This window comes from Homo sapiens, chromosome 2 (assembly GCF_000001405.40).
Source record: "Homo sapiens chromosome 2, GRCh38.p14 Primary Assembly".
NCBI classification, from domain to species: domain Eukaryota; kingdom Metazoa; phylum Chordata; class Mammalia; order Primates; family Hominidae; genus Homo; species Homo sapiens.
This window is the reverse complement of record NC_000002.12, coordinates 237,551,401-237,572,388: the sequence shown is the minus strand read 5'-3', so window position 1 is coordinate 237,572,388 and position 20,988 is coordinate 237,551,401. Positions and strand designations below refer to the sequence as shown.

At 50.5% G+C, this 20,988-nt stretch overlaps 2 protein-coding genes and 1 pseudogene across 17 annotated transcripts in view, besides 2 other annotated features; all 3 read right to left on the bottom strand.

Moving 5' to 3' along the window:
* Window positions 111-296: a silencer, noted in NCBI's record as "fragment chr2:238480736-238480921 (GRCh37/hg19 assembly coordinates)". NCBI's record gives its function as "represses an EF-1alpha promoter that drives an FKBP-Casp9 reporter gene in an ReSE screen in phorbol 12-myristate 13-acetate-treated (for megakaryocytic differentiation) K562 erythroleukemia cells {active_cell/tissue: K562(+PMA)}" and the evidence as "EXISTENCE:reporter gene assay evidence [ECO:0000049][PMID:32094911]".
* PRLH (prolactin releasing hormone) lies at window positions 5,214-5,815 on the bottom strand. Its single transcript, NM_015893.1, has 2 exons — window positions 5,716-5,815; window positions 5,214-5,377 (listed from the first exon to the last, which is right to left on the bottom strand). The coding sequence occupies exons 1-2, from the start codon at window positions 5,813-5,815 to the stop codon at window positions 5,214-5,216; spliced, it is 264 nt and encodes an 87-aa protein (NP_056977.1).
* Window positions 8,466-8,966: an enhancer, noted in NCBI's record as "H3K4me1 hESC enhancer chr2:238472066-238472566 (GRCh37/hg19 assembly coordinates)". NCBI's record gives its function as "activates a minimal SCP1, AML or CMV promoter by ChIP-STARR-seq in primed H9 embryonic stem cells {active_cell/tissue: H9 hESC(primed)}" and the evidence as "EXISTENCE:reporter gene assay evidence [ECO:0000049][PMID:30033119]".
* RNU6-1140P (RNA, U6 small nuclear 1140, pseudogene) lies at window positions 9,157-9,224 on the bottom strand (annotated as a pseudogene).
* Window positions 17,067-20,988, bottom strand: part of MLPH (melanophilin) — a 68,913-nt gene continuing 64,991 nt past the window's right edge. For 14 of the 16 annotated variants that reach the window (NR_104019.2, NM_001281474.2, NM_024101.7 and 11 more), the window contains 2 exons: window positions 19,952-20,052; window positions 17,067-18,823 (listed from right to left, as the gene is read on the bottom strand). Coding sequence is in view for 15 of the 16 variants with exons in the window: in NM_001281474.2 (NP_001268403.1) it covers window positions 18,797-18,823; window positions 19,952-20,052 (128 nt within the window). In the remaining variant the exon portion in view is untranslated. Of the gene's footprint in view, window positions 18,824-19,157; window positions 19,293-19,951; window positions 20,053-20,988 lie in introns of all 16 variants that reach the window. The other 2 variants (XM_017004893.2, XM_047445806.1) reach the window with 1 other exon arrangement.

Below are 20,988 nucleotides of genomic sequence, written 5' to 3'. Positions count from 1 at the left end.
ACACTGTATTATTGCTATCCACACTGCAGTTTCCGGCTGCGAGTAAAGTTGGACCATTTTTCACGCGATGATTCCCTTGCCGATGAAGAACATGAAGTGTGAGTCCCTAGTGTGCTAGGCTGTGTCCTCGCGCCCTGTGCCCCCGCAGCGGGCCCTCAGCCGGGGTGGGGACCCAGCTTGCGGGCGGCAGGAGGCTGAGGTTGCCCGTGGCCACCAGATGGCGCTCCAGCATTGTGGAAGGCAAGCCCCACGGTCCTGGCGTCCGGAGTGCTTGCTCTGCTGAAGGGCGAACCAGGAGGCTCTCAGAGGAGCTGCAGAGGAGCGGCTTGATGACATAGAAGGGGAAGAATACAAGGGAAGTTTGTAGGATGCCTGTAGGTCTGACTGCCTGCTTCCCCCTCTGTTTTGACGACCTCCTGTGACTATGCCAGCATTTATTATTAAAATGTGTCCTTTGACTCCTTCAGGAATCATTTCATGGCCTCCCCAAGAGTGGACAGATCTGTGGTGGTCCTGGAACCCTGGGTCTCCCAGGACTGTGACTGCCCCTTTCCCCTCCTCCCTCACCACTAGGCAGGTGGGGCTCAACCCTGTGCTGGAGTCACCTGCGGAGCTTCGGAAAGCCCCACACCGGGGCAGGGTGCGGTGGCTCATGCCTGTAATCCTGGCACTTCGGGAGGCCGAAGCGGGAGGACCACTTGAGGCCAGGAGTTTGTGACCAGCCTGGGCAACAAAGGGAGACCCTGTTTCTACAAAAAGCAAAACAAAAAATTAGCTGGGTATGATGGTGCACACTTGTAGTCCTGGCTACCCTGGAGGCTGAGGTGGGAGGATTGCTTAGGCCTCGGGGGTCGAGGCTGCAGTGAGCCATGATCAAGCCACTGCATTCCAGCCTGGGCACCAGAATGAGACCCCATCTCAAAAAAAAAAAAAAAAAAAATGGAGCGCCTCAGCTGCATATCACCCAGAGGTTCTGATTCCATCAGACTGCCCAGGGATTTCTAAATCCTTCCAGGTGAGCATAGGTGAGGCTGAGAACCTCAGTGAGGGCAGGGCCTCTGTCTGTCCTGATTTCTGTGGGATTCCCAGGGTCCTCTACACTGTCTGGCACACACCAGGCACTCAACACATGTGTATCCAACAAAGGGAGGAAAGCATGTTTTTTTTCCCCAGAGACCTAAAGAACAGGCAGGCTTTCCTGAAAACAGCCCCCGCCGCCCCTGACACCTGCGTGTGGAAGACTCACCTGTGTCAGTGCTCCACCACCTTATCTTCCTGTCCCGAAACGGGGCTGGGGTGGGGCAGCAGGCAGGAAGGCCCTATTTCTGCAAGCACACAGGGAGAGGCCCCAGCAGGGCTGCAGACATTTGTGTCGCAGATGATTCAGGATAAATGGGTCCAGGACCCCACTGGCCCCAGATCCTGGGAGAAGCTGGTCCATGTACCCACTGTCCAGGCTGCTGCTGGGGAAGCAGCTCCAGCCCTGCTTAGCCTGAGTTCGGACCTGGGTCTTCTCGTGAGCTGTTGTTTGCCTGTGGGGGGTGGTGGTGGATGCCGGAGGCATGGCAATGTTGATGAGTGGCCCTGGGAGCCCCTGCCATCCCAGCCTGTGATGCTAACCTTTTCTTCTCTCTCTCTTTCTCTTTTTTTTTTTTTTTGTTTTGAGACAGAGTTTTGCTCTTGTCACCCAGGCTGTAGTGCAGTGATGGGATCTCAGCTCACTGCAGACTCTGCCTCCTAAGTTCAAGTGATTCTCTTGCTTCAGTCCCAAGTAGCTGGCACTACAGGCGCCCGCCACCACACCTGGCTAATTTTTGCATTTTTAGTAGAGATGGGGCTTCACCAGGCTGGTCTCGAACTCCTGACCTCAAGTGATCCGCCCATCTCGGCATCCCAAAGTACTGGGATTACAGGTGTGAGCCACCGTGCCCGCCCTGTCTTGTTTCCTCTTGAGTATGTTCCCATCCCATTCTTCTGATGGGTCTGCGTTTCCCAGAGTGGCTGACTCACAGAACTATTCTTTTTAATTTTTTTAAAATTTATTCCCTGTTTAGGACTCCCACTGGCCAAATTTAGGCCAATTCGAGTGTCAAAAATTATAAAGTTCTGAAAAAAAAGAAAAAAAGAAATATCTTCTCTGGAAGAATCCAACTAATGACTGTGGAAGGAATTAGAGAATCACCATGGTGTGGGGGTGACTGGTGGTGCAGCAGCTGAGCCTGGCATGGGTAGTCAGGGGACACTGACATCTCAGGCCGCAAGCTGGCTGGGAAACAGGATTTGGCCATGGGGCCCTGGCCCCAGCACAGATTTCACATTGATCACACAGGGAAAAAACCTCTTACAATGAAGAGATCTGTCTCTACCACAGGGTCAAATAGCACTGTCAGAGAGGGAGCCCAGGATCCCATGGTCAGATATGATGCAGTGGGAAGGACACAGTTTTTGGGTCCACAGTGCGCGACCTGAATCCAGGCAAGATCCTGGATGCCCCTCTCTGATGACAGGAAGTACAGGGAACGGAAGAACAGGGACATCACCTTGGGGGAACAACTTACAAATCACACAGGTGGAGCATTTTCCAAGACGACTCATCTGGGTGCTTGAAAAATTCAACACCAGGACAACATAAAAAATTAACTGGTCGGAAATCAAAGAGAAACAACGGACTGTGAATGCAGATTGGAGCCCGGTGGGGGAAAAAGGAGACTGTCTTGCTGCATGTGGGGATTTCTGAGTACAGACTAAAAACTAGATGATATTGTGAAATTACTACAACGGTTTGTTCAGGTATGATGATTTTATGGCTATGTAGGAGACTGGCCTTATTCGTGGGAGAAGGATGCTGAAAATATGCTTCTAGTACATTCACTCTGTTCTTCAGCCACTGCCGTGGTCCAGTTCTAAGACGTTTCACCACCTCCAAAAGGGAACCCCCATATCCATTAAGCAGTCATCCCCCCACCCCTCTTCCCTATCCCCTGACAGCCATGAATCTGCTTCCATAGAATATGCAATGTCATACAACGTTTTTATATAAACAGAATCATACAACATTTGAATTCTTGTGCCTGGCTTCTTTCACTTAGCATGATGCTTCCAAGGTTCATCCGTGTTGTGGCATGTATCAGTGGTCCATTCCTTTTCCTGGCTGAGTAATATTCCATTGCATGGATAGACCACGCTGTGTTTTTCTATTCTTCTGTTGATGGGTGTTATGAAATGTTTGTGTCCCCGCCACTGCAAATTTATATGTTGAAATCCTCCCCCCATTATGGTGGTATTAGGAGATCGGGTCTTTGGGAGGAGATTAGGTCATGAAGGTGGAACCCTCATGGATGAAATTAGTGCCCTCATAAGAAGAGGCTAGAGAGCTTGCTTCCTGTTTCTGCTCTCTGCCATGTGAGGATACAACGAGAAGACGGTGTCTGTCAACCAGGAAGATGGTGTCGGATCAAGGTGTCGGATCAGCCAGCACCTTGATCTTGGACTTCCTGCCCCCAGAACTGTGAGGAGTGAGTGTTTACTGGCTGAGCCTCTGTGCCTATGCTATCTTATTAGAGCAGCCCGAACTGACTAAGGCAATGGGCATTCAGGTCATGTCCACCCTTTGGCTACTTGGAAGGGTGCTGCTGTAAACGCTGCTGTGATGTGCTGAGCACCTGCCCTCAGTTCTCCAGGGTCTACACCTGGGGCGAATTGTTGGGTCGTTTGATAACTCCGTGTTTAACTTTTTGAGGGCTGTGGCCTCTTTAAGGCCTGACCCAGCCCCTGCTGCCTTCGGAACAGACCTTGCCCCCCTTCCTGTTCCTGCAGGCTCACTCTACCCTGGCGAGGTGGCTCAGGGCTGGAGGGGCTCCCCTGTAGCTGGGGAGGTGCAGTCACCCCAACTCAGCCCCGTGTAGGTGGTCTGGGCCTTGCCACTGGCCCCTCTGAGCATGGATGGCCAAGAGGGCTGTGGTCAGGATGGGCTCCTGAGATCAGCATCTGCAGGCAGGGTCCAGCAAGAGTCCAGGCCAAGCTTTGGGTTGGAGGGAGCTGGTGAAGCCTGTTACATGGCTGGGTGGAGGATGGGCCTTGGGGAAGGGGCTTGCACTCACAGAGCACCCACCCTGTGCCGGCAGGCGTGCAGGTGCCACGCCCACGGAGCTGAGGAATGAGGTAAGCGTTGCTGTTCTGTGGCATGCAGTTGTGGAAACTGAGGCTCAGTGATTCACGGGATGAACTCAGTCTCCCAGGTGGTGCAAGTGTGCCCCCAATGCCAACCTAAGCTACACCTGAGGCAGGATGTGGAGACATCCCCGTGTGATTTGAAAGGGACGCACGTGGCGTGGGAGCAATCTAGGTTCAAGTCTCCCTGCCATGGGTCAGAAACAATCCATGATGCATCTTCCCTGAGTAAGAGGGAGGCAAGACAGACTGCAATGAGAGGACTAGCAGTTGTAGGGGTTGCGGGGTGCAGGGATGAGTAGGGGGAGCCCAGAGGACTTCTAGGACAGTTAAACGACTCTGCGTGATGCCACATCGTGTTGTTGTACATTTGTGCAAACCCACAGGACGCACAGCGTGGAGAGTGGGCTCTGACATACGCTGGTTGGGGATGGGGATGTGTCAGTGTGGGTTCCTCGACTGGGACAAAAGCACCCTCGGTGGGGGTGTTGATCATGGGGGAGGCTGTGCGGATGTGGGGGAAGGGGGTGGATGGGAACTTTCTGTACCTTCTACTCAATTTTGCTGTGAACCTAAAGCTGCTCTGAAAAATAGTCTAAATAAAAAGGACTGAAGTTGAGGGGCTGCCCAGGGCTCAGGCTGGGGGCTGTGCTACCGTCCTATGGGGACAGTGTCCTGCAGAGTATGACGCGTGGCACCTCCTGGCCTTCTGCAGTGGACAGCCTGGGCAGCCACTCAGGGCAGCTTGGGTGTGGGGGTGGCTGTGGGCTGCCGGTGACCAAGGGTAGACCCAGCGCCCCAACTCAGTGCCAAGTGCCCTCTGCCAAGTCACAAAGCCTTTTCTTCCAAAGAAGTTGCTGGGCTCTGAGGTTCTTTCTAGTCTAATGTCCCAGGAGGGAACAACTTCAGAGTCACCACCACACAGTCGTGAATGTGTAACTGAAGACCAGAGCTTTTATTAGGATTGAAGGGAAAGGAGCCCGAAGGAGAGGAGAGGGTGGGGTGGGGGAGGCTCCAGAGTGAGTTTCTTGACAAGCTGGCTGTCAGCCATCCTGGGACGACATAGCACCGCCTTCCAGGGGGAAGCAGGTCAGCCGGGGTCGCAGGCCAGGCTTGGGGACGTCCCCCAGGGTTGCCCTCCTCCGACCGAAGCGGCCCACAGGCCTGATCCCGCGACTGGCGTACCAGGCAGGATTGATGTCAGGGGCTGGAAAGGAAAGAGCTGGAGCAGACCATGGGCACGTGTCCCCAGGGTGTGCTGTGCTCCCAGAGGCAGCGGGGCAGAGTGCACAGGCAGGGCCTCTCAGCCCAGTCGCCAGGCCATGCTGGGAGCCACCCGAGGAACAGGCACCCAGAGGTTCTGGCGAGGCCATTTCTGGGCGTGGGCTGGCTTTGGGAAGCAGGAGTTCAAAAAAGCACCAAGACTGACTTCCCTTTCCTCCCGCGCACCCCGTTCCTGCCAGGTTCTCGAGCGACCAGGCTGCACTAGGTTCTGGGGTGAGGCAGGGTGGGGTAAGGGAGGCTGACAGGGGTCCAGGCACTCACTGCGGATCTCCATGGAGTGCCGATGGGTACGACTTGCAGCTCCCCGCAGGGCCAGGCCCAGCATCAGCAGGCACAGGAGCCAGGCCCTCAGCACCTTCATCCCTTGGCTCCTCCGAGGAGGCCCCGCTGGAGGGGAGATCCAAATGAGGAGGACACGGCCTGGGGGAGAAGGGGCAGGAGCAGCGTCACACAGGCATCAGGGTGCGTGTGCACGGAGCTGGGACCTTGGGTAGAGTGAGCACTGTGTGTGAGAGAGAAGTATGTGCATGAGCCTGTGTGCATGTGAGTGCACAGCTGTGTATGTATATGTGTACAAGAGGGTGTGGTGTGTGCACATGGGTGCCTGTGTGTGTGTATGTGTGCAGATATGTGTGTGTATGTGTGTAGATGTGTGTATGTGTGCAGGTGTGTGTGTATGTGTGTAGATGTGTGTGTATGTGTGCAGATGTGTGTGAGTGTATGTGTGTAGATGTGTGTATGTGTGCAGATGTGTGTATGTGTGTAGATGTGTGTGTATGTGTGTAGATGTGTCTGTGTGTATTGTGTAGATGCGTGTGTATGTGTGCAGATGTGTCTGTGTGTAGATGTGTGTATGTGTGTAGGTTTGTGTGTATGTGTGTAGATGTGTGTGTATGTGTGCAGATGTGTGTGAGTGTGTGATGTGTGTATGTGTGCAGATGTGTGTGTGTGTAGATGTGTGTGTATGTGTGTAGTGTGTCTGTGTGTATTGGGTAGATGCGTGTGTATGTGTGCAGATGTGTCTGTGTGTAGATGTGTGTATGTGTGTAGGTTTGTGTGTATGTGTGTAGATGTGTGTGTGTAGATGTGTGTATGTGTAGGTGTGTGTAGTTGTGTGTGAGTGTATGTATGTGTGTGGATGTGTGTGTAGTTGTGTGAGTATGTGTGTAGATGTGTGTGTATGTGTAGATGTGTGTGTAGCTGTGTGTGTGTGTATGTGTGTAGATGTGTGTATGTGTGTAGATATGTGTGTAGATGTGTGTGTGTCGATGTGTGTGTGAGTGTGTGTAGATGTGTATGTGTGTAGGTGTGTGAGTGTACATGTGTAGATGTGTGTGTGAGTGTATGTGTGTATGAGTGTAGGTGTGTGAGTGTATGTGTGTAGATGTGTGTATGTATGTGTGTAGATGTGTATGTGTGTAGATGTGTGTGTAGATGTGTGTGTGTACGTGTGTAGATGTGTGTGAGTGTGTGTAGATGTGTATGAGTGTAGATGTGTGTGTATGTGTGTAGATGTGTGTGTAGTTGTGTGTGAGTGTATGTATGTGTGTAGATGTGTGTGAGTGTGTAGATGTGTATGTATGTGTGTAGATGTGCGCGTGCACATAGCCACATAGATCTCCACGTGTTCCTCTGATCTGTGCTGAGGTGGGAATAAGCACAGAAACAGCAGTTAAACCTGGCTCTCTGCATGGTCCCCCACCCGCCTGTGACCCCATTCTCTCCTCTGCGCAATGAGGTGTTAAGTGAGATGCTTCTGTGCGCGTCAGCCTCTAACGGGATCGGTCACATGTACATTGATGCTCATGATCAGAAAGCCCTCAGGAGGTGTGAGCTACGCGTTATAAAGGGGGGCTGTCATGGAACAGCCTTGGGTCCGTCTGTCCGCCTGTGTTAAGGGATCAGAAGGTGCAGCAGGCCTCTGCACGGCTGTGCATGTTGCACACCCAGGACAGCAGGTTTGTGGGGAGGTGCCCAGGGAGCTGCACAGGTGGAGGCAGCCCCTTGCTCAACCTCAGACATGGTTGGGGAGCTGGGGAGTGCCAAGCCTGGACCAGGCTCAGGGGCTGGAATCCGGTGCACGGCCCCTTCCCACATTCATCTCAGCGCCTCCTAATGCCTGGTTCCAGCCTGCCAGCCCAGCCCTGCTGGGGAATGTCAGCCGACAGCTGCGTGTCGTAGAATGAGTCTGCATCCTCTGCCCTAAGTAAGCCCACTCACCCTTGCCATGACGCTAGATCCAGTCTTCTGAGGCTCCAAGGTAAGCCTGTAGCATCTGGGACCTCTTCTCACAAGGCAGGGCCACTTCCTATCGGTGATGGGAGGAGGGGGCTGCCGTGGATGACACCAGGTGCATGGAAAGCCCCTTCCACCCCACTGGAGTGGAGGTGCTGAAATGCCTAAACAGCATCCATCATGGGAGACCTGGAAACACCTGCTGCAGGCACCCCTCCTCCTTCCTCCACCTGTGGCACTTTGGGTGCCATGGGAAGATGCCCGACAGCTCCATCTTGCTCTGGGAAGGATCCCCCTGCCGACCTTGACTTTCCAGCCCCTCCCTGAGCCCCACAGAAAGTGCTCTCCATCAGAACAATTTAAAATGCCTACACCTTTCCTTTTTAGAGACCTGGAGGGGCGTCCCATGCTAGGTGGGGTGGGGGGTTCCCCAGTCTAGAGGAAATGGAGGTGCCACCTTGAAGAGTGATAAAGAGATTCATCCCAGCAGGCTGGCCGTTTGCATTTCCTCTGGCACGGGACCCACGCCACCTGAGGGGTGTCCGAGAATGCTAACGATGCTCACTTGGCTCCTGATCCCCAAAGACCTGCCTCCCTGAGAGGTGGAGACTTTGGCCGGCTGCCCCGTGGGATTTCCTGGTCAGCGGAGTTGAATGGGACGTCTTTGTCTGGAGTCTCCACCATGGACAGCGCCGGAGCCTTGGTGCCCTGGGAGGGCAGGGTGGCTTTGGATGCAAGAACCCAGGGGCCAGCCGTCTCTGCCTCTCCTGCTTAGGCCTAGCCTCAGCTGCCAGGAGAGCAGGCAGGGTCTCAACCCGACCCACACTCAGACAGCAAGGGAAGATTTTACAAAGTAGCAAAGCAGAGGGCCCAAGCTCCAGCGCCTGGATGTGCAACTCACCGTTCTCGAGTGTGGTAGAGGAGCTGTCCTGGCTACGGGTGCAGTGGAGCCGAGGAGGCGGGAGCCTCTGTTCCCCTTTTATAGCCCCCGAGAGGACGAAGCCGGCACCCCCAGGTGCCCTCCCCCAAGCCAGCCTGTCTCCCTCACAGGGCGGCATCAGGAGCGAGCCTGTGTCTCTTCTCGTTCCTTTATTGAAAAAAAAAAACACAAAACAAAACTCATCAGCGATGCGATTTGTTCCTTCCTGGGTTATATAATTTCATTTGGACCAAGTGGTTTTAAAACACATTAGCTTCTCTTCTTCGTGCTCGCCTTCGGGCAGACTGCAGTGTCAAGTGTCCGCTGGGCCTCACAGATGGGGCTCCCGGACTCCTTCCAGTCCTCTCTCCCTGCCTTTAAATCACCGCATTCACATTCAAGGGAAAGGTGAGCAGGGACAGTCACCAAAGCCCAGCACTGCGGCTTTGTATCTTTGCGATCTTCTCGGTCCTCGTTCATTCACCTGCCTGACTGTCCTACCTGCATTTGTCGTGTGCACACCATGTCTTCCTCATTCTGTAACTTCCGCGCAGGGGCCATGCTAATCTTCTCTGTATCGGTCCAATTTTAGTATATGTGCTGCAGAAGCAAGCACTCTATAACTTACAACAGGTGGTTTCTAGACTTTTACAGTCTTTATAATTAATGTTTAACATAAACAAGTTTATTATTCTCATAAGACAAGCTTATTTTTTATTATAAAAGAAACAAATACATTTTTATTATTAAAGCAGTTCATATACATTTGGAAAAATATTAGTGCATACAACAAAATAGAAAAAATAGCACTGATCATGTTAAAGAAGCTGCTCGTGGCCAGGTGTGGTGGCTCATGCCTGTAATCCCAGCACATTGGAAGGCCGAGGCGGGTGGATCATGAGGTCAGGACTTCGAGAGCAGCCTAACCAACATGGTGAAACCCTGTCTCTACTAAAAATACAAAAATTAGCTGGGCATGGTGGCGCACGCCTGTAATCCCAGCTACTCAGGAGGCTGAGGCAGCAGAATCACTTGAACCCCCTGGAGGTGGAAGTTGCAGTGAGCTGGGATCCTGCCACTGAACTCCAGCCTGGGCGACAGAGCGATACTCTGTCTCAAAGAAAAAAAAAAAAAAAAAAGAAAGCCTCTCGCGTCTACATTTGATGCATTTTCTTCTAGTGAGCTTCCGACATATTTTCTGGGTAGATTGATCACATTTATACATGTTGAATTTCATTCTTTTCACTTAACACTGTAACAATCACATCCTCAAGTTGCTAAAAAATCTGCAAGTTTGTGCCATTTTAAGTAACTGTGCAATGTTCTACCATTTAAGGTGGATCTAAATCATTCATGTTCTGAATAATTATAGGTTATACTCATGACCACTTATATGCAGTTGAGTACAATCTTTTTAAGGAAAATTTCTGGAGGGGAAACTTGGCACGTGCTTCCCATGGATTGGCGCAGATGGTCAATGTGCCACTTCCATCCTTTAGGAAAAGCTTCTGGGCAATACTTTCCCCTTCAGGGAACAGGACACAGTGGCTTCTTCCTTGCTGCGTAGTTGTTTTTCCCAGTGACACAGGTTTGTGGCTGGTGGGCTCCCTGGGAGCTCTGGAGCCCAGGGGTAGCTGGAGGCGGGAAGTAGGGTAAGCAGCACGGGAAGGGTGATGGGGTGGGGTTCGCAGCTCCCAGCTTGGGCTGCTGATTAGAGTCACTTGGGAGCCTTAAAAACCTCCTAATGCCTGGGCTGTACCTGGAATGAATTCCATCAGAATTTGTGGGGGTAGCTCAGGCATCAGTGATGGCGAAAAGCTCCCCATCCATAGTTTTTACCCATAGTTTTTACAAATGTAGGTTGAGTATCCCAAATCCAAAAACCCCAAATCGGAAACTTTTTGAGTGCTGAGTTGATTCTCAAAGGAAATGTTCATTGAAGCATTTTGGATTTTAAATTTGGGATGTTCTACTCATGAGTATAGTGCAAATATTTCAAAATCCTCCCCCCAAAAACCCTTAAAATCCAAAACAGTTCTGGTCCCAAGTACTTTGGATAAGGGAACTTGACCTGTAGTGGTGATAGTGGTGGTTAAGTATCACCATCTTGGAGGTGTGTTTTCTGTCCAGTGCTAGGCCTGCCTGTAGCAGCAGAAACTGAGACCCCAGGACCTGGGGGCAGCTTTCTGGGCATCCACCACTGGAGTGTGTGTGTGTGTGTGTGTAAAGCAGCGCTGTCACAGTGTGGCACTGGCATCTTGCCACTTTGGGAGTCCACCAGTGGGAGGCAGCAGGCGGGCTGGGCAGTAGCACAGGCATCAATCCTGCTTACCCCACCCCCACGAAGAAGGCGATGGTGTCCATCAGAGACCTCAGAACCGCTGAGAGGCACTGTGGCTGGCCGGAGATGCTGTGATGGCGAGTGAGGTGTGGGCTGTTCTTGCAAGAATGTCACAGAACTGCAGGCCTGGCCTGGGGCTTTCAGGATGCACATGGCTTCAGTGTTTTTAGAGAAATGAATCCCACAGATGGGTTTTGACCACAGGCAGTCAGGGAGCTTCTCCCCATCCCCTATTTAACTGCGTCATGGGCCTCAGGAAAGGCAGAGCCAAGCACTCTTGGTCCAGCTTCTGTTGGTCAGTATTTCATCCAGAATGTGATGTGGCCACTTGAGTTGTGGCACATACAAACTAGAACCTGTGCAGGAAAGTCCCCTCCCTGGGGAAAGTATGACTGCCTGCCATGCTACCCTCCTGGAGGCCACGGGTATAATGACAGCAAAGATGCTGACTGCCACGCCTTCCAGTCCTAATTTTCTAAGATACTTATTTATTTATTATTTTATTTTATTTTTTTGAGACAGAGTCTCGCTCTGTCACCCAGGCTGGAGTGCAGTGGCGCGATCTCGGCTCACTGCAACCTCCACTTCCCAGGTTCAAGCGATTCTCCTGTCTCAGCCTCCCGAGTAGCTGGGACTACAGGCATCCACCACCACGCCTGGCTAATTTTTGTATTTTTAGTAGAGACGGGGTTTCATCATGTTGGCCAGGCTGGTCTCCAACTCCTGACCTCAAATGGTCCACCCACCTTGGCCTCCCAAGGTGCTGGGATAACAGGCGTGAGCCATCGTGCCCGGCCAGCTACTGATTTATTCTTCTGTGCCTTTCTTCATTGAATGAAGTGATCACAGTGGTTTTCTCATTCACTCTGTTAACACAGTGGACCGCAAGAATATATATTTTTTTCTAACATTAAAGAATTCCTGGCTTTCTTGGGATGAACCTTACCTTGGTAAGATACAATAGGTTTTCTAATAGATTCTGGGATTTGTTTCATGAATACTTTATTTAGAATAGATCTTTTAGGCTGTGCTTAGTGGTTCACATCTGTAGTACAAGCACACTTTTGGGAGGCTGAGGTGGGAAAATTGCTTGAAGCCAGGAGATTGAGACCAGCGTGAGCAACATAGCAACGCCCTATCTCTACAAAAAAGAAAATTTAATTTATAGAATAAATATGTTAACATATGTTGCCTTTACTTCTCCTTCCTCACATTGCATTCAGTAGGAAGGTCTTACCAGCCTTATGAAAGAGGAGCCACGCTTCCCCTTTTTCCTGTCCTCTGGAAAGGATCTGGTAAAGATAGGAATTCCAGAGCTGTCTAGGAGACATATGGGGTAGGACTTGGGCTGAGGTGAGGGGCAGAAAAGGAGTGAGCTCGGAGGTCATGGGTCGGGGGTTTCCAGACTGAGAGCTGGGGGGCTAAGATGGGAGCCTTGGGGATGGGGAAATGCTGAGGTCAGTCGTGGGCAGGTGTTTGAGGAGCCCTAGAGGGTGGCCAGGTGGCTGCTCGCTGGGCCTGGAACCCTTTATTTCTTTGCTTACGTTTGAGACCTCAAAGAAGCCCAGAGCTCTTTAACGAGGCCTCAGCCGTAAACCTGAACATGGGTGTGGACAGAGGACAGGTGGCTGTGAACAGCCAGGGAAAGGTGGGCACACCTGAGAGAAGACAAGAAGAGGACAGGTGGCGGAGGGTGGACAGAGAAAAACGACTCAGTGAAGGACCCGGAGAAAGTACCAGGGAGGAGGGTCTTGCGGGTAGAAGCGGGGAGGAGTGAAGAAGGCAGAGTTGCCCCGCAACAAAGAAGGGATCATCCGAGTCAGGGACTGTATCACGGCGCCCACCTGCCGGCTCGTTTGCTTGTGGTCTGTAGGGGACACTCCAAATCCAATCTTGAACACGGAGCTGGCAAACTTCTTCTGCCATGAGCCAGATAGTAAACGTGTCCAGCTTTGTGGGTCATAGGATCTTGGTGGCAGCTGGCCAAATCTGCTGTTGCAGCAGAAAAGCAGCCATGGGGAAAAGGCAGATGAATGGGTGTGGCTGGGCTCCCATGAAACCTCACTTAGGAAGATGGGCCGCAGCTGGCTTTGGCCCAGCCTGCCGTTTGCTGCCCTGGGTCTAGGTCTCCAGCTGGCAAACTGTTGCAACAGGTGTGCAGTCGACACTGTGACAGCCTCGTGCTGTTTCTGAAAACCATTGTGTAAAGTGGGAGAACAAGAGAACGCACTGTGTGGGAGTGTTGTGCTGTGTGAACGGGTTGAAGTGACCTGCTACCCTGCTTGTCCGGGCAAGACGACCTCTTCTCTGGCACAGGCTGTCTCTAGGTTGGCTAGCAACTCGCATGTACACGGCCCCGCCCATCTATCTCTCGGGCATCTGGAAAAATAAGTTGTGGCCGCTGGAGGGAACAGTCCTAGAGTTGGGGGTTGGAGAGGCCATTGAGAGAGGCCACCTGCTGAACCGGCCGAGGAGCAGTTCACAGTCAAGAGGGAAGAGAAGGGCACAAGGGGGGCTGAGAAGCCTCGAGGCCGTGGCCATTGCAGAGCCACCCCAGCCCCCGTGGCTGCTGCACTGGATCGCTGGGTTTTCCTGGGTCCCCAAGAGAAGGCTCTGTGTTCTTCTCTCACGCTCGCTGTTTCACTTGGGCTGGTTTCAGTGGATTTCTGCTCTTTGCAATTATAGGCACTCCAAGGCCAGGTGCAGTGGTTTATGCCTATAATCCCAGCACTTTGGGAGACCGAGGCAGGCAGACCACAAGAGGCCAGGAGTTCGAGACCAGCCTGGCCAACATGCCAAAACGCTGTCTGTACTAAAAATACAAAAATTAGCTGGGTCTGGTGGTGGGCACCTGTAATCCCAGCTACTTGGGAGGCTGAGACAGGAGAATCACTTAAGCCAGGGAAGCAAAGGTTGTAGTGAGCTGAGATCGTGCCACTGCACTCCAGCCTGGAAGACAGAGGAGGACTCTGTCTCTAAATAAATAAATAAATATATAAAAAAAGAGCCCCAAGTTGAGAGCCTCCCTCCCTCCTAGTCTTTCTTCCTGTACTCAACATGGGGAGAGGACCCTACTCTGGGGTGCATTTCAGTTTTGAGATCTTTGAGCTTTCACCCTCAACATGGTAAATGTGCAGCCTGTAGCAGGCACTTGGTAAGTAGCAACAGCACCATGATGGACAGTTGATTTCATGGATAGCTGGTTTTGGTTTTAGTTCTTGGACCATAATGGTGCTCTGTAGTGGGTTGGAGTCTCCCATCTGGAATCTCAAATATGACCTTATTTGGAAACTAGGATCTTTGCAGATGTAATTAGTTAAGATGAGGTCATCCTGGATTAAGGTGAACCCCAAATCCAACAACTGGTGTCCTGATAAGAAGAGGACAGACGCGCAGAAATGCACAGGGAGAAAGGCGATGTGAAGATGGAAGCAGAGACTGGAGGGAGGCAGCTACAAGCCAAGAAGCACCAAGGATGCCAGCAACCTCACAGCTGGAAGGGGCCAGGAACTGCCTGCCCTCAGGCCCTGCAGATGGAAACGACTCTGCTGATGCTGTGATTTTGGACTCTGGCCTCCTGAACTGTGAGGGAGTAACTTTCTGTTGTAATCTACCAGTTTGTGGGGCTTTGTTATGGCACCCACAGGAAACTAATGCAGGGCTTCAAACGTGTGTCTGAGTGGACTGATGAAATGTCTGTCCCTTGTGCTTGTTCCCAGAAGAAAGCGGACCGTGGCTGTGGCCTGTGTGTTTCTTCTGGCCTCCTAGGAAGACACTACACAGCCTGATGGGAGAGGTAACCTTGGGAATTGGAAGCCATCGAGTTGCAGCTGTGGAACAGCCACGGCAAGAGCAATATTCAGTCACCAGAAAAGCTGTTTCTGCTGTAGATGGCTTCTGAAAATCCAGACTCTTACGAGATTTTAAAACACTCCTCTTTGTAAATTAGAAAGGTGCTTTTGAAGTGTGAGTCATCCAGAAAGTGGCATCTCTGAGAACTGAGAGAGAAAGTGCTAGTGAGATTTGAGCACCGGAGGAAGGCTTCCCCTACCCCACGTGGCCACGGCTCTGGGACCTTGGCATTGCATTTGTGATAAAATAAACGGTGCTCCCCGTCCCTCACACATAGCTCCCATCTAACCAGTTTACAAGTTTCAAACACAGACACACTGAACATCAGACAAGGCTCTTATATAGGGACTGTGCATTGGTCAAGGCTCTTCAGAGAAGCAGAGCCAATAGCGTGTGTGTGTGTGGAGAAGAGAGAGAGAGGGGAGAGAGAGGAGAGAGAGAACGGAGAGAGCGGGAGGGAGAGAGAGAGAACAGAGAGAGAGGGAGGGAGGGAGAGAGAGAGAGAGGGGAGAGAGAACAGAGAGGGAGGGAGGGAGAGAGAGAGGGAGGGAGGGAGAGAGAGGAGAGAGAACAGAGAGAGAGGGAGGGAGGGAGAGAGAGAGGGAGGGAGGGAGAGAGAGGAGAGAGAACAGAGAGAGAGGGAGGGAGGGAGGGAGAGAGGGAGGGAGGGAGAGAGAGGAGAGAGAACAGAGAGAGAGGGAGGGAGGGAGAGAGAGAGAGGGGGAGGAGAGATTTAGTCTAAGGAATAGGCTCATAAGATTGCAGGGCCTGGGAGGTCTGAATCCTGCAGGACTAGCCATCAGGCTGGAGACCCAGCGAAGGAGGAAAGTTGTCCCTGGAGTCTGGAGGCAGAACTCCTTCCTGCTCAGGGCACATCTGTCTTTTCTCCTAAGGCCTGCAACTGGCTGGGGAAGGCCCACCCACTTTATGGCAGGTTATCTGCTTTAAAGTCTACTGATTTAAACCTTAATCACAGCTACAGAATACCTGCATAGATACATCTTGGCTGGTGTTTGATCAGACATCTGGGCACCACAGCTGAGCCAATTTGATCCATAAAATTAACAATCATAGACTGTTACAAGTGTCTGTGGTGATGTAGCAAAATACTCCTTTCCCCAGCATGGCCATGTCCTTGGAACTCTGAGCCCAGATGCCATTGAGCTGCAGGTGTGTTCATTGGAAATAACTGAGCAGTTTGTTCATTTAGACAGCAAGGCTGTCTCTGGGAAGACTTTGCTGTAGATATTTTCAGGGGAATATGGGTAGCATACATGGGTAAAATACTTATTTCTGGGGCTGGCTCTTTCCTGGGAAGATATAGGTGTGCGGTCATGTTTGGAATGGGCTTTACTCACCTACTAGTATATTAACTTGTGGGAGTTTTATTAAAAGCTAATACGTGAACCAATGTCTGCAAGGACTTAGCAGTGGTTGCTAGTGGGTAGATGATTCTTTTTTTATGTATTTTTTTTCTTTTGCATATCTATCTTTTCTGTTTTATCCCAATAAAATAAAAAAAATTCATATGTAATAAATATTCTCTATAAGAATAACTTTGAAGTTATGAGCATTGTGAATATGTGAGGATTACTTGGCTGTCACCAGCATGCTAAAGTGGAGCTTTAGCTGGGCTCTCAGAAGCCCAGCAAGTGACAATACCATTACTATTACTCTTTTGGGGATGGGTTTTTGGCCCCCAGTAAAGTGGGTTCTTTTGGATAGAGCTGTTGGAAAGTGAAAATCCTTGGAACTTACAGAAACAATGGCTTGACATAAAATCAGTGAAACTGCAACACTGTAATGCATGGTTGGTTTGATCCCTGAGAGCTGGGAGCTACACCTGTCAAATTGTGTTTCACCCCAATAATCTGCAGTGAGGCAAGGTATCCCTTGGTGATCTGGGTGCTATATTGCAATATGTTGGATACTGGATTATCTGGGGAGTGCAATTTTGCTGCACACTCATAGCTCATTTGTAAGAAGCATCTTTGGGAGATCTGTGCATTCAACGCTTCCTAAAATTTTTTCTTTTTCCCCTTATAAATAAGACTGTTGGAGGATAAAACTTTGGAGAAATATTTTAAATGCTTGTCTCTAATCTCCCTCTGGAGTCATAGAGAAACCACTGACTTCTGTCAATCTTTAGCTGGAAACAAAGAGCCAGCAGCTGTACTGGTTGGGGTACACTAGCCTCAGGGATCCCTGACCTGCCTGTATGCAGCTTCCACTACACATCTCCAGAATAGCCATCTGCTAGGAAAGGAACTCTGAAGAATTATTTTCATTTATTTATTATTAATTTTTTTAAGAGACAAGGTCTCACTCTGTTGCCCAGGCTCGAGTATAGTGATGCGATCATGGCTCACTGCAGCCCCAACCTCCAGGGCTCAAGTGATCCTCCTGCCTCAGCCTCCTAAGTAAGTAGGTACGACTACAGGCATATACCATCATGCTTGGGTAATTTTTTTGTTTTGTTTTTTGTAGAGATGGGATCTCACTATGTTGCCCAGGAGGTCTCAAACTCCTGGCCTCAAGCAATTCTCCCACCTTGGCCTCTCAAAGGGCTGGGATTATAGGTATGAGCCACCTTACCTAGCCTGAATAATTTTTTCAAAGAATAGAATTTATAAGTAAGGCTGGGAATTATATGGAAAAACTCCCACGTTTTTATCTGATGCCACAAGGAGTCAGAGAAACAGCTGCTAATGTGTGCTCACAGGTCTCCTGAAGTTGCAGGAGTATCAGCCTCCCAGCAACACTTTGAGATTCAAACCTTAGTTTTAAGTGAGAGATTGGAAAGCTCCTGGAAGTGTCTTATTGAGAGAGGGAAGGAAACACTTAACTTGGTCAATGCTTGAAGACACAAGGCTTGACTCTTGTCTCTACTGTTTGATTCTAAAAGAAGCCACTCCTCTCAGCACCCCCTCTGACAAAGGCAGTGCAGCCATTGGGTCCTGTCTAAAGTGAACCTCAGGGAGGGTGAGATGTGATTACTGTTAGGATGTTCAAAGGCAGCTCTGGAGAGTCTTGGAGGGCTCCACTTAAAACTGGATGGGGCACACCGATACTAGGAAATAACTCTGAGTCCCAGCCTGTCTGAGAGATCATCTATGTAACCAATGGGCGAGTGGCAAGCTGACTCCTGTGGCCTCTGCACCCCCATCCTTGGCAGACATCCCTCATTGGTTGTGACCCTCTGTCCTCTGCCCCACTGGATCCACTGCAGTGAGGGGCAGAGCCAGGCTAGAACCAAGCCTCTTCCTTGCCCATCTGGAGCTCTGCCTGCTGTCTCTTCGTCTCCCAGCAGGCTCTCTGCACTAGCATCTGAGCATCTATCAAATGCTCACTTGCTGTCATGTGCAGGCTCTGCCCTTGACCGCAGTGTAATTTCCCCTGGTCTACAGATCACATGGGAACTTGCAGAGCGGGTGCACGTAGGGTGGGGACTGGGGTGTCTATTCCTCCTTCATTATTCAGCAGATCATTAGTTCAGTCACTTGTCCGGATGTCTAATATCCAGTCACACCCACAAGAAATACGCAAACATCTGCTCACACCCCGATATAGACCATCAAGAATACACATATGGCTGGTGCCTTAACTGAGTCATCTTTTTTCCATTCCATTCATGAAAGCAACATAAGAAAGCCAAGAGTGAAAGGGGTAAAAGATCACAGTATAAAGGTCTTCGGTGTGTCCTTCAAAGATTTACACAACATTGTCCTAAAGGGAAGTCACAGCAGCTTAGCTGTTTCTCACAGATCAGAGAGGATGGTGGGGCAGCCAGGAGTCATCAGTAAACCCAGGTGAGCAGTGCAGGACTGAATGTCGCTGTCCACTTGCAGGTGGGAGTCCATGTGGAGGGTGCTCCTTCTTGTTTCTCATTGGGACGGTGACTGTGTATAGTGGAAAGCACAGAGCCAATGAGGGACAGGATGGCTGTGGTGGAGGGAAAACAGTGCAGGGCTGCTCTGTCTCTCTGTCCTGTCCCGTTAGGACTGGTGGGCCACCACAGGTTTCTGTAAAGTACAAACACACATGCACATATAAGCACACACATACACAGGCATGTAACACAGACACACATGGGCATGCACATACAAATACACAGGTGTGTACATGGATGTGCACATCTGTAGACACAAATTTAGATTACACGTTTGTGCACACATGCATGTGAGGCAAGAGAATAGGGTCTGGAGGCAGGGAACCTAAGGCCAATTCGTGCTGACTTCCTAGAACTGAATCAAAATGAAAACCCCACCTCTCCATGCCTGAGGAACAAAAGGTTCAGCAGCTACTCCCTTTGCTATACCCCCTTTCCACTGCATCTCAGATGAAAATGGAAAGTACCTCGGATTGGTCCCCTCCCGCAACCAACCAGACTGGTCATCGGCCAAGTCTTCATGTGTAACTTTGTAACTTCCCTTCAGCCTCTGATTGGTTGCCTCCTGCGACTGATCACATTGGTTGGGGCCACTCCTTCATCTGCATAGAGTATAACCAAGTAACCAATGGGAAAACTCTGGAGGGCACTTAAACTCCAGAAAATGCTGTAACCAGGCTCCTGAGCCACTGGCTCTAGCCTGCTCCCACTCTGTGGAGTGCACTTTCTTTTCAATAAATCTGCGCTTTCGTTGTGGTAACACACACACTTGGGTGTGTATGCAGGTACATACACATGGGTGTGCACAAACACACAGGCATGCACACAGTACACACACACACAGGGGTGAACGCAGCCACACACATACACACATGGACAAGTTAGTGAAACCCTGGGTTTGCTTTCTTCACAATATTAGGTGAACTCTCTTGGGGTTTTTTACTTAACCTCTCTCTGCCTCTGTTTTCTCAGCTACAAATTTGGGTTAGTGACACAGGTCCTCCTCCAATGGGGTGTGTGGACAGCAGATATTTGAAAATTTAAAGCTCTAAAACACAAGATATTATTCTAATTTCAAAGTATTTAGATTTTCAAGCCCTCGTTGGCAAAGATTTTACTTTACTTTTTGCTTTGATTCTCAGGTCTGAATCTTTGTTTTGTTTATCTCCATTTTCTTTGCTCTGAAGACTTAATTTTAATACATAAATCTGACGGGTCACTGAACTTTAAAAACTCCTCAGAGAATGAGAGAAAACTTTACCGCGAAGGTGTGGCTGGCCATTCCTTTCCTCGCGTTGGGGTTTCTCTGTGTCAGCGAGCCTCGGTACACTGATTTCCGATCAAAAGAATCATCATCTTTACCTTTGGGGAAAACAGGAAGAGGGATGGTGCTTTATCAATCACATACTTAGCCCAAACAAGTGCCTTGGCCTCCTCAGAAATTTAAAAGGTAGAAAAAAATGGACATATCCCCTTTTAAGAAGCTTCCACATCACATATTTTTTAAAAAGTATTTACATTTCAGCTGTCATGCAAATCAACAGTTTTGCCAACTTCTTTCTCCTTTGCTCTGGCACTGGCATTAACATTCTTCCTCACTGTGGCCCTGGAAATCCTCACACTAATGAAGCAGCAGAAAGGCCCATCACACTGCACTGGTGTGTGGTCTTCGCATTTCCTTGACTTTCTTTTCTTTTTTGTTCTTTCTTTTTTTTTTTTTTGAGACAAAGTCTTGCTCTGTCACCCAGGCTGGAGTGCTGTGGCGCAATCTTGGCTTAACTGCAACCTCTGCCTCGGGTTCAAGTGATTCTTCTGCCTCAGCCTCCCAAGTAGCTGGGACTACAGGTTCACACCACCATGCCTGGCTAATTTTTGTATTTTTTAGTAGAGATGGGGTTTCACCATGTTGGCCAGGCTGGTCTCGAACTCCTGACTTCAAGTGATCCGCCCGCCTTGGCCTCCTGAAATGCTGGAATTATAGGTGTGAGCCACCATGCCTGGCTTCCTTGCCTTTCCTTTGTGAGACACGGCAACAGCCCAAGGGGTCTCAGATGCTGACCCTCAGCAGAGGGCACCTCCTGGGGCCATGGCTGTGTAGCTGGGGGCATCTGGCCTCACATCCTAGTTGAGTGTTGGTGTCCAGGTGGCTGGTGCAGGCACCCGCCCTTCTTCACTTTTGCATGTCTTCTGTGGCCTGCCTGACTGGAGCCAGTTGTCAGGGCTCCTGAGAGCTGACTGTGGGCACCTCTTCCTGACCCCACGCTCGGTGACATCAGCTGGGAGCTTGCGATCAGCCAG

Excerpts from the sequence above, each read along its gene's own strand:
- PRLH (NM_015893.1), bottom strand. The coding sequence starts at position 5,815 with ATGAAGGTGCTGAGGGCCTGGCTCCTGTGCCTGCTGATGCTGGGCCTG. Across the intron at positions 5,378-5,715 it reads GCACTCCATGGAGATCCGCA|CCCCTGACATCAATCCTGCC; the intron begins GTGAGTGCCTGG and ends TTTCCTTTCCAG.